Source organism: Homo sapiens, chromosome 19 (assembly GCF_000001405.40).
Source record: "Homo sapiens chromosome 19, GRCh38.p14 Primary Assembly".
Taxonomy (NCBI): domain Eukaryota; kingdom Metazoa; phylum Chordata; class Mammalia; order Primates; family Hominidae; genus Homo; species Homo sapiens.
The window spans coordinates 28,456,739-28,469,336 of NC_000019.10; the positions used below are offsets into that span (position 1 = coordinate 28,456,739).

General features: G+C 46.3%; 1 pseudogene across 1 annotated transcript in view; it reads right to left on the minus strand.

Annotated features, from left to right (window-relative positions):
* LOC100420587 (SHC binding and spindle associated 1 pseudogene) overlaps window positions 1–12,598 on the minus strand; it is a 292,307-nt pseudogene that overhangs the window by 21,351 nt on the left and 258,358 nt on the right. The window contains exons 6-7 of the transcript NR_110759.1: window positions 9,664–10,042; window positions 4,549–4,759 (exon numbers count right to left, since the gene is read on the minus strand). The product of NR_110759.1 is annotated as an SHC binding and spindle associated 1 pseudogene (transcript). The remainder of the gene's footprint in view (window positions 1–4,548; window positions 4,760–9,663; window positions 10,043–12,598) is intronic.

A 12,598-nucleotide genomic window follows, 5' to 3' on the forward strand; every position in this document is an offset into this window, starting at 1 on the left:
TGAGGATGCAGTTGTCTGTGATTGAACCACTGCACTCCTGCCTGGATGACCCTTGCCCCAGCCTGGAGCAAGACCCTTTCTCTAAAAAGAAAAGCAAAAGAACAAAGGCTTTCAGAATCTTTTGGACTGTGGCCCAGAGTAAGGTATAGATTTTACACTGCAACTCTATACAGATACCACACACACACATACATACAGATGAAGCCAAAGTTCAGTGAAACAATACTTGCCTTTACTATGTGGGTTGCATTCTAACCGTTTCTATTTGGTTTTCTTGTAATACTGAGTCATGACCCTCTAAATCAATTTCATGGCTCCACAGTTTGGAAAACACTCATCTAGAATACAAGAAGTCACTTGAGCTGATTGCTAAACTAGCCCCACTCTGAATGAGAGGGTCGAAAAACTGACATGAAACTGTGAACCAGGAGCCTCAAATCCCAGCGTCACTGCTTTTGGGTTGTGTGATCTGAGTCAGTGGCTTCTCTTTCCTGAGTGAATGTGAAAACCTAATGGTATCATTTAGCATGGATGCATGCTAGAAATACACTGGAAATAGACGTCACTCAAGTGGCGTTCTCAAGGAAAATTTAACAAAGGGACTGTCTGAATCATGTGTGCAGGGTTAAAGCAAGGAAAAGGAGAGGGAGCGTTTACTAGAACCTGGAGTGAGAGCTGTGAGAGAAGGTGCCCCATAGGACACAGGCAGAGAAGAAGCTTGGTGGTAAATACCCTGACCCCTTTTCCTTCCTCCCTGCAATCTCCTATTAATATTTCCATTAACCAACACCAACCAGAAGCCAGAGGGCAGAGGGGTCCATTGTTGAAATCCTTACAGGTCAGCTTCCTGGCACCCCAGCAGAATGAAGAGTGGAAAGTGGATCAGGAGGGCTGAATGGAGAAGAGTCCTCACCCCAGTGATGACAGCATAGTGAGGGACAGTGTTTACTGTGCTGCCTCCCAACAGCCAAGTGCCATTCAGAAAAGTGGTGCCCTCACTCCTACAGCCCTTACAGTTTGGAAGTGTTTCCCATCCATTTTCTTTTTTAAATTTTTCTCTTCTTTCTTTCTTTCTCTCCTTCCTTCCTTCCTTCTTTCTGTCTTTCTCTCTCTCTTTCTTCTTTCTCTCTTTTTTTTTTTTTTTTGACTGGGTCTCACTTTGTTGCTGAGGCCAGAGTACAGTGGTGCAATCTTGGCCGACTGCAACATCTGCCTTCCGGGTTCAAGCTATTCTCATGCCTCAGTCTCCAAAATAGCTGGGTTTACAGGTGTGCACCACCACACCTGGCTACAATGATGCCATTGCACTCCAGTCTGCGTGACAGAGCAGCCTTGTCTCAACAAATAAATAAATAAATAAATAGGAAGAGCCTCAGGGTTGGCACTACAAGGTGTAGACATGGATCAGGCTGAGGGTGGAGAGTCCTAAGGGAAGGCATGGGCCCCTGACATCTGGAAACTGGTCTGACACTGACAGCGAGACCATGTTCTTTATGCTAGACATACCTGATCTCACAGAACACCTACATCAAGTGAGGTCACTAGACAAAAACAAAATCACTGTGCAGCCCTCCTAAAAACCACCACTCTTGGTAAAAAATGAGTGACTGCTACTTCTTTACCAATTACAGCCTTGTCCTCGCTCTAGTCTGCCCTTCCTGTCTGTAACATTTATCAAGATACCAAACTACAACATCCTTCTCGCTTTCTGTCAGTACCCAATCCATGGCAAACGTCACCTTCTTACACCCTCCTCAACATTACCCAACCAAAGCCCAGACTCTAAAGCTTTCATCAATATCTTCTTCCTGAGATGCCCCACTACTTTTCTGTGGAGAGCATCCTTCTTCACCATATCAAGTAATAAACCCAGCTGGCCAACTGCAGGTGTGTTCCTGGTGGTCTGTGACTGGAAGACAGTGACATTCAGAAATAAGGGAGTTCAGAACATGTTGCCCCCAGATCTGCTGCTGTAGAATATTGACTATTTTGAGTTAAAAACGGATAAGAAAACAGCAGATGAAAGAAGACCACTCTGATCTGTTTCTTAAAAGCAAAAAATAATTCCCATGTGAAGAAGGCACTCTGTACCAGAAGCAAAGTCCCACTCCCATCAAGGATGGGGAATTGAGACCAAGAAAAATCTGCACATACAAACCTTGTTAGACTCACCCTTATCTTCCTGGCCACTTCTCCACCCAACTAACCATGTTAGCCCAAGCCCCTTTGCCTTGTCACATTTTCATAATGCACTACCCTTTGTCCAATTCACTATGTGTTTACTGTAACTGCCTTTTTGGGTCTTCATTTCCTTAATAAGGCCCCCGTGTCACATAAAACTTGTGTGAAATAAATGTGTATGTTTTCCTTTCGTTCATCTGTCTTATGTCAATGTAACTCGCAGGTGCAGCCAAAAATCCCTATGAGGGTAGAGGTGAAGTTGTGCCTCCCCTCCAACAGCAAGGATCCAGGGCAGGCCCATGGAGGGTTGGGATCTGGGGACGAGCAGAGGCAATAGCCCTGCTCTTCTGGGTAGTGGGGGATCCCAGGAAAGCCACCGAAGGCAAAGGTCCCAGGCCTGCTCTGGACAGGAAAACAGAGGGCTTGCCCAAACACCATAACAAATAGAACAAAGACCTTGCAGAGTCCAGAATTTACTTCAGAAAAGTTTATTTTAAGCAAAAAGAACATGATAAAACTACAGTTAAAAGAAAAAATCCAGCTGGGCATGGTGGCTCACGCCTATAATCACGGCACTTTAGGAGGCTAAGGGAGGATGACTGTTTGAGGCTAGGAGTTCAAGACCAGACTGGGCAACATAGTAAGACCCCATCTCTAAAAAAAATTTTTTTTTAATTAGCCAGATTGCTGATCTGTAGTCTCAGCTACTTGGGAGGCTGAAGTTGGAGGACTGTTTGAGCCTAGGAGGTTGAGACTTCAGTGAGCCGAGATTGCACCACTGCACTCCAGCCTGGGTGACAGAGCAAGACTGTCTAAAAACAACAACAACAACAACAAAAAAAAAACCATAAAAGAAAGAAAAAGAGAGAGAAAGGAAGCAAGGAAGGAAGGAAGATGTAAAAGAAAGAAAAAGAAAGAAAGAAAAGAAAAGGAAAGAAAAGAAAGAAGGAAAGAGAAAGAAAGAAAGAAAGAGAAATCGATCGAAAGAAAGAAACAAAAAAGAAAGAAAGAAATCCATCTAGTAGCTCTGTGTTGGGGGATTAAAGAGACAAATACTGGTGGCTGGGAGCCCAGTGAGGAAGCTGTGGGGAGGAAGTAAGTACATTGGGATGCTCAGAGACTACCCCAAGACCCTGCTTGGAACTTGGAGTCTTTCTCTCCTTCATTCTCTGCAAACTCAACGTATTCCTTTGAAGCAGAAGTGAAAGAACCTAAGCAGCTCCAGTTCTCAGAATTGCTTGCTGCTCCCAGAATGCAGCTGCCTGTCTCCTTGCTCCTGGCCAAAAAACACCGAGAGGAAGGCACTGGAGAGCAGATAATTCAGCTCCTCAGAGAAACACTACACACAGATGTCAGAAGAGAAAATTAACCCAGAGTTTGTGGACTAGATTCTCCTTCAGTCATACAAGATGCATGTCTAATTAATGGAAATGACTTTGGAGCAATGCCTTTGGTTTCATGAGGGGAAAATATTTGAGATGAAGGATTTGTCCAAATGTATTTTCTTGATGCCGCCTCCAAAGAACCTTGAAAAGGAAGGAAAACAAAATGCAAGCTAAGTGTCAGTGGTAACTGATTTGTAGCTTGCAATGTTTTATTAACAATATCTGGTTCATCTGCTGTTGGGGAGAGAAACTTTTAATTCTAACTGGTACCTAACCAGTCCTAAGCAGGCTCTCTGAATACCTTACTTAGCACCTATGAAAAATGTCTGAAGCTTGAAGTACAAAAGACTAAATAGTAATTTGGAAGTTTGCTGTGCTTTAGAGTGAAGCCCTTTCCTGTCCTGCACAGACAAAGATGTCTGCTGGGTTTCATGAATGTTGCATGGCACGTGTAATTACGCTAGATAATCACACCTCACCCAAGCCCCACACCTGATGATGAACAGGCTGTGGAAGGCTCTGTCTCCATCCTCATGAGGAATTATTCAGCACCTAGACTGTATTCCACTTCTGTTTGGGCCCATAAACATACATATTGATCAAAAGCTTTTGCAATTCTGACACCATCTACTCTAAAACACTATCTTATTTGTGGGTAATCAGCACCTCATGAATATTAGATTTCTCCCTTAATTTCGCTAGCGTGGCTTTCTTTTTGGCAGGGAAAGGTCAGGACTCAATCAGGTGAATGTTGCTAAGAAAAAAAAAAGCAGAACAAATTCCTGCTCTGGGCAGGAGGATGCTGTGGGTCAGGGATGAACGGGCCTCCTCCCTGTTTTTCTTCCGCCCTCTCCTCGGTTCCCAGCACTCCCCTGCCCCCACCACCCTGACCCAGCCTTCCTGTCTCATGGTCCAGAGATGGCTGCGTGGTTAAATGGCTCATCACTGAATAGAGGTAAAGAAGTATCAAAGGCATGAGTACCTGTATGTCAGAAGAACTCAGAAACAGATGATGGGCGAGTTGCCGGGAGATAGCTGAGCCTTGTACTGAGATCGTGAATGGAGATACATCTTCCTGCTCCCATCTACAGCTCGGAAGACCCAACCTTACATCCCAGTCCAGTCCTGGCTCCTCAAGACTCCAGACCCACGGAGAGGTGGCGCTGATGGTGAGACAGCCAGGAGGATGGTTTCTACAGTAATAACCCACAGAGTGCTCAGAACTCATTCCCCAAATCAGCCACTTTCAAATCAGAAACTAGAAAGAGGGAGATGGAATAAAAAATAAAGGAAGGTTGAGATAATCACACAGCTGGACCCTGGGAGGCAGTCCATGGGCTGGGCAGTATCTCAGTAAGGTTTAGGATCCAGGGTCACATCTGTGAGGCCTCCACCCCAGCCCCCCAACCTTCTATCCAGCCAGCCAGCCTTTAATTCATTTGGCTATCACTAAGTGAGCACCTACAATGTGCCAGACATGGGGCTAAGCACTAAAAGTGCAAAGACAAGCTGGACAGTGTCTAAACCTTTTAAATCCATTCATTCATCACTTCTTCAGGCGTGTACTGTCTCTACTAGGTAACAGATATTGCTAGCTGAATTTAAGGCAAAGGGCCAAACAGATGTGGTCACCATCCTTTCATAAAGCACAGTCTTCACGGGTGGACATATGTTTATTTTGTGTTTATTTGTTTGAAGATCAATTATAAATTGAATAAGTACTAGAGAAGCAATACACTGAGTTTTGTAGCAAGAAAAACAGGAAACACCAAATCTAGCCTGGTACCTTTGTGGAGCCTGCTCTGAGGAGGTGAGCTGAGGTGAGGAGTGAGGGACCAGGTCCAGGGGCTGAAAGAACATTCTAGGCAGCAGGGGCAACCAGGGGAGAAGACCCTGACTTAGGAAGCACTGAACGCATTCAAAGTGGCACTGCCATCCCTACACTTTGGGAGGCCAAGGCGGGTGGATCACCTGAGGTCAGGAGTTTGAGACCAGCCTGGCCAACATGGTGAAACCCTGTCTCTACTAAAAATACAAAAATGTGCTGGGCGTAGTGGTGCGTGCCCGTAATCCAGCTACTCAGGAGGCTGAGGCACAAGAAACGCTTGAACCCGGGAGGCGGAGGTTGCAGTGAGCTGAGATCACGCCACTGCACTCCAGCCTGGGCAACAAGAGTGAAACTCTTTCTGCAAAAACAAAACAAAACAGGACAAAAAGAAACACACAAAGTGACACTGCCAGAAGGCCAGGGGACTGGGCAGAGTAACAAGGGAAAGAGAGATGAAAGATGGGGTGGGAAGGCATAGGGAATGAGTAGGGGCTTTCCTTGGGGTCCAAAGACCCCACCAAGGGGTCCACAAATAGAATTCGGTGAGTCTGTGAAGGTGGATAAAAAGTGATTCTTTCTGTTTTTTTTTTGTTTTGTTTTGTTTTTTTGTTTTGAGACAGAGTCTCTCTCTGTTGCCCAGGCTGGAGTGCAGTGGCGTGATCTCGGCTCACTACAAGCTCCGCCTCCCGGATTCATGCCATTCTCCTGCCTCAGCCTCCTGAGTAGCTGGGACTACAGGCATCTGCCTCCACGCCTGGCTAATTTTTTTGTATTTTTAGTAGAGACGGGGTTTCACCATGTGAGCCAGGATGGTCTCAATCTCCTGACCTTGTGATCTGCCCGCCTCGGCCTTCCAAAGTGCTGGGATTACTGTGCCTGGCCAAAAGTTATTCTTTTGTGTTCACCAACCTCGAGCTGAAATTGAGCATGTCCCTAATAGTATTATTAGTACCTGGGACCTTGTCATCAATATAAGCCATAGAGGCCTCCATTTCACAGCACGGTTTTTGCAGATATCATGCTGTGTCATTTATACTGATCACAACGTTGGAATTATGATGCTTATCAGACCTGCTGCTATAATGTATTACTAGAAAAGCAAATCTGTTATTATATTACATTTTAATGTTAATAAGTATATTTCAATATAATTGATTTTGTTAATTCTGTGTATTTTACTACATGCATTTAAAAAATTGTTCAGAAACGGGGTCCACTGGCTTTGCCCAAAGGCATCTATGGTACAACAGAACTAAGGACCCCCAGCTAAAGCTCCCTGGAGGAGCTTGCAGTCTGGAGGAGAAGGCAATCTGGGGCCAGAATGAGCTGAACTATGAATGGGGCAGTGCCAGGGGCTCTGGAAGACCAAGGAGGCAATCCTTGCGCCACCTGGGATGGGTGTCAGTCATGTCCACAACGATGGTTAGAGGCATCTTCTCAGAGTGCATCCCACCCTGCCACCAGCCAAAGGCAGGCACAGCACAGGGAAGGCCACCAAGTCAGGCCCTGCCCAGCTGCTGTGACCTGGTCTGCTTCACCCCAGGAGGGGTGAGAGCAGCCTTCCCCAACCCTCTGCATCCCATCACCATGGAGACCAGGGCGCAGTCTAGCCAGAGGGAAGACAGTACTCTGTCCTTGTTATTTACTTACTCATATTCTCCCTCCTTCTCTTGTTCATTTACTCTCTCTCTCCTCTCTCATTCCCACTTTCTCTCCTCTTTGATTTTTTTCTCTGCCTCTTTTCCCCCTCTCTCTTCCCCTCGCCAACTTCCTCTCATCTCTATTCACTTCTGTGTTTTTCCTCTGCATTTATTCCACAATCCTTCACTTCTAACCTGCCACAGAGCCCCGAAGCATGAGGAACTGGGTGGGAACCCACAAATCTGATAGTCAAGGCTTCTCTCTGCCCTATTTTTAAGGTGGGAAAACAGGCCCGGAGAGTGGAGAACCACACCCTGTCTCTAGATGTGCCTAGCACATCCTAGTCCTAGCCCTGTGCTTTGGCCCCTGTGCCTGGAGAGGGTCTCAGCATGGCACGGGCCTCAAAGGCAGAGCTGGAAGGGCCTTGGCTTGCCTCCTCCTGGCAGCCCTCAGCAGTGTCTATGGGGTGGGGGGGTAAGCACCCTCTTCCTCATGCAGAATCCCTGCCTTGCCCACAGTAGAGCTGGTTCCCAAGCAGAAGAGCAGCAAACTGAATCCAAAGGCAGGGACCTTTGGAAGGCATTCTCTCCTCAGTGGAAATGAGCCTCTCTCTCTGCTCCACCTGCCTCCCCAGCACCTGCCCTGGGAAATAGAACCCCATCATCAGGGGAATGACAAAGAAGGAATGACGGGGTCCCTTGCCAACCTGCTGAGCTTGGCAAGGACCTCACAGCCTCTTCTTCCAGAAAAGACAATGACAGCAGGGAGGGGGAATGAGGTGACACTAATTCCTGTGGAGCCTGCCTGGGATGGGGAGGGCCAGGGCTGGGGGGTGACTTCCCAGGGTGAAGCTGGTGCCCCCAGCCCGACCCTCCCTCCCTCCTCTGTGCTTCTGAAGCGTTTTGCGCACTGGCTCGTCAGCACTGCAGCACTATCTGGTAGCTGCCAATTTACTTTATTATGACTTGTTGGAGCACGAGGCCTGGGAAAGCCCAGGCACTTGGTAAATTTCAGTTGAGGAAAGTGAAACTCAGTGAGCTTTAACACAAATATAAATGACTGTTGAAACATTTCTAAAGTTACAGAGTGAAGGGAGAAAGTGGCATAATTCATATCACACACCAAAGCATATGTCTAAACTGCTTTCTTTCCCTCCCAAGTCAGGAGAGGAGCAACGAAACGGGCAAATGGAATGTCAAAGTGTCTCCCCATTCGTGGCTGCCGGAAGGTGGCTGAGCATGATGGGCCAATCTTCATGAGATCACATAAGTGAGTCTCTGGCCAGGCCAGAGGGAAGTAACAGCCAAGAGCCCTGATGAATTAAAAAAATATATATATATATATATAAATATATAAATATAAATATATATAAATATAAATATATATATATATATATATATGAAGATTTGAATGGGGGCCCAAAGAGAAGGGGCCCTAACATGGGAGAGTGGAGGAACAGTGGGAGGGTTGAGGGGCCACCAAGCAGGAGCACTGGGGCTGCACAAAGACCTCTTCCAGCACTCCTCATGATGGGATCCCCCTGTCTCTCCAAAGCCCTCAGAGAAAGCGTATTTTGGGGTGAGCCACTGTCCATGGGAAGCAGGCGAAAGCCCACAGAGCACGTGTCTGAGCTGTGGCTGGAGTCAGAGGTGGGGCTGAGAGGATGCAGGGCAGGCACAGGAGGTGCTGGACAAGAATGTGTAAGTTATGAGTCAAAATGACTGGAACACTCTCCTGGCTCACTGCACCACCTCCTCCACTGCTCATGGGTTGAATGAGATGGGATCCCCCAGGAGAGGCCAGAGCCCCTGGGGCCCAGGTGCAGCTGAGGGGAAGGGGGCATCCAGCAGGCTTCCCTGACCAGCTGTCCATCTAGGCCCCTGGCCCTGCTGGCAGAGCTGGCTGCAGCCTGATGCCAGACTGGGTGAGGACATTATGCTAAGTGAGGTAAGTCAGGCACAGGAAATACTGCATGATCTCATTGAGATGTGGAGTCGACTGAGGTGTGGAGTCTGAAAAAGAAGAAGAAGAAGAGGAGGAGGAGGAAGAAGAGGAGGAAGAAAAAAAGAAGAGGAAGAAGTAGTAGAAGAAGAAGAACAAGAAGGAGAAGGAGAGAAGAAGGAAGAAGGAAGAAACAAGAATGAAGGAAGAAGGAAGAAACAGAATAGAAGAAAAGTGGCTCCCAGGGGTAGGGAAGGCAAGGAAATGGTGGGGAGATGTAGGTTAAAGAGTGCAAACTTGCAGTTATGTAGGATGAATAAGTCTGGGGATCTAATGTACAGCAAGAGGACTACACTTACTAATATTGTAGAGTATATTGAAAATTTACTGAAAGAGTTGATTTTAGGTGCTGTTAGTGTGTACACACTCAAGGAAACTATAGAAGGAGATGGATATGTTAAATTGGTCATCTGTAAATAATCACTTCACTATAAATATGTATATCAAAACATCTTGTTGTGCATCTTAAATTTACACAATTGAAAAAAAAAAAAGGCTGCCAGACCAAGACTCAGGGCCACTGCATTCCACCAGGGGGTGCTGTTTGACATCTGCCAACACCTTTCACAGCCTCCTCCGCCAAATATTTCAGAAACCAATTTCCAATAAAGCAAACACCCTACTCACCTGGCTGCAGAGTTGGAAAATATCTTGTTTCGTTGCAAATGAGTTTTACCATCTCCTCAGAGCTCTGAACTTAGCCATCATGCACAGTCTCTTAGTTGGGTCAGTGTCCCGGGATGGAATTTCCTGACCTTGTCACCGGTTCTTGGATCCACACCTTAGAGCAATTCATTACTGTTGGAACTGCCTGCATCTGGTTCTGGCCTCTCCTCTCAATTAAGGGAGAAACAAGACAGGAGGGAGGGCTGCAGGAAGCTGCTGTGCTGTGAGAAGCAGGTGCCCTTGGATGGCTTCTGCAAACTCCCCAGGTCCCAGTTTTCTCATTGGTGAAGAAACCAGAATGGGCAGACCAATAGCCTTACAGGCTTGCTCAGTGGCTATCCTGACAAAACAAAAGACCAAAACACAGGTTAGGAGGTGTTACCTAAAATGTACAGGAGGCCATTGATTTGGGCGGAGTTCCTGGCTGTGCATCTGGCCTGCGGTCACCCAGTACTCCGGGCTCTGACACACAGGCGGCAGCTCCTCCCTATGAAAGTGCCACCCAGGTTGGACATGTTTTTAAAAGCTGATCGTTAATGAGCTGGAAAGGAAAGGAATAGAAGCCATTATGATCACTCTAAGAAAGCATCTCTGATTCATGGATCATTTACTATTGATTATTGAAACCAATGCCATCGTGCACGCCCTGTGGCTGGTTTTAAAACCTCTATATCGTGGAGTTTGGGATTTATTTGGAAGCACTATAATAAGCAGCACATGACAATTACTTCCCTCAGTATTCCCTGTAATCAAGATAAATTATCCTGCTATTGATGTAAATGGGATATGAAAATCTATAGAGTCCTCCTGAGGAGAATAAACCCTACATTATGCTCACCTCATTTAACAGCAAAACCATTTTGGGGTCAATCAAAAATACATTCCCCCAAACTTTTATTGCCATCCATCCTTAGTCACCTCCAGAAACAATTAGCAAACAATACCAGTGAGGAAGCACTCAGCCTAGGGGCGCCTGTACTGCTGTTATTATATTCGCCTTATAGAGCCTCCATGTCCACAGACCTAGGGCATCCTTTGACACTCACAGGTGTCTTATCATAAATGTATTTACATAGGACACATATGTATTTAAAATTTGTTTTCCCCATTGCTAAACAACCTCTTATGAAAATTCAAAGTACGATTAATTATATATGAATTTTTTTATAAACAACAAATGGCCAGGCACAGTGGCTCACACCTCTAATCCCAGCACTTTGAGAGGCTGAGGCAGGTGGATCACCTGAGGTCAGGAGTTTGAGACCAGCCTGGCCAACATGGTGAAACCTCGTCTCTACTAAAAATACAAAGATTAACCAGGCATGATGGCTCATGCCTGTAGTCCCAGCTACTTGGGAGGCTGAGGCAGGAAGAATCGCTTGAACCTGGGAGGTGGAGGATGCAGTGAGATGAGGTTGTGCTATTGCACTCCAGCCTGGGTGACAGAGAGAGACTCCATCTCAAAAAAATAAAAATAAAAATATATAAACTCAATTTGCATTACTTCTCCTTCTCTGATTTTTGTCTCTTCTTTTCCATCAAGTGCTTGCCTTTTGAGCCAGCTTTCTGTGGCTGCTTTTCTTCTGCCAGAAAAGGTGCTGCCCTGAGCAGCTCTGTACTCTCTCTTTCTTTGATTTTCTCTGTTTTTCCTGTCCCTGAAACCCCATACTTTATTCATTCAGTGGGGATGCCACAGCCTTCTTTCCTAGGAATTCCTTTCAGTGCAGAACGCTTCTGGCAGTCTCAACTTCTTTTACGCACCTAACCTCTCTTTCTGAATTTGTTATTTAATATATTGTCCTTTTATTCAGCATCTTTACTATAAAACCTTCTTCTTTATAGCAAGACAAGCATAAAATCCTCTCTAAGCCATGTCTTTTCAAGCTATTTTATCTCAGTCTTAATTCTCCTAATCTCACCTGTTTAAATGAGGAGAGAGAAAAAGGAAGAGGAGGAGGAGGAAGATGAAGAGAAGGAGGGGAGAAGGAGGGGAGAAGGAGGAGAAAGACTCACAGTGACAATGATTTGACTATCACTGGATGTTAGGATTATGAGTGATTTATTTTACGGTCTTTATTTTTTCAGCATTTTGCAGACTGTCTGCAATGAACATGTACACTTTATTCCAGTTGCCCTAAAAAGCTGAGCCTACGACAAAAGCTTACAGGCTAAAGCTTTGTTGGAGGTGCAATCCCAAAGAAAGAAGCAGGAATGAGGAAGAAAGAGGGGCAGAGAAAAAGCAAAAACAAATACTGAGCAGTGCAATTCCAAGCCGGTCACAGTCTCACAACAAAACATAGCTGACTGCTCAGTCACTTAGGACCTCACCAGAGAGGCCACAAGGAGCTGTGAGCCACAGTCAGCCAAGGAGGGTCAGGAGGCACTGGCTGTCTCAGCCTCTCCTGGGCAAAGTCTGCACTGACTCCCCACACTGGCAGACCACGTGGCTCCACAGGAAAAGCCGGGCTGCAGGGGACCTGACCCAGCCATGCCCAGGTGCACCGTTCCTCCTGTCACTTAGCACCACACGTGGGGGCTCTTGGTCTGCAGAGCTGGTGGCAGCAGCGGAGGCAGTCAGGGCTCCTGGAACACAGACAGCTGAGCTATTGCTAGAGCTGCTCTGGCTGGAGGCAAGGCAAGTCTGCTGATCAAATGCTTTTATAGCTAAGAAAATAAGAATAGCTTGTTTTAAAATATTAGATTCCATTATAAAGTCTTGATCCTTTTAGCCTCAGCTTGCTGTAGGCTCATTCAAACCTTTTTATATCCCAGATCTACACTGGACACAGTCCTTTAAGACAGAGTCATAAACCACAAAGCCCACGGGGCCAGGCCAGGAACACGCACAGGAAAGTGAGCTGAGTGGAGGCTGCGGAAGTGCCGGCTGGGTGGAGGC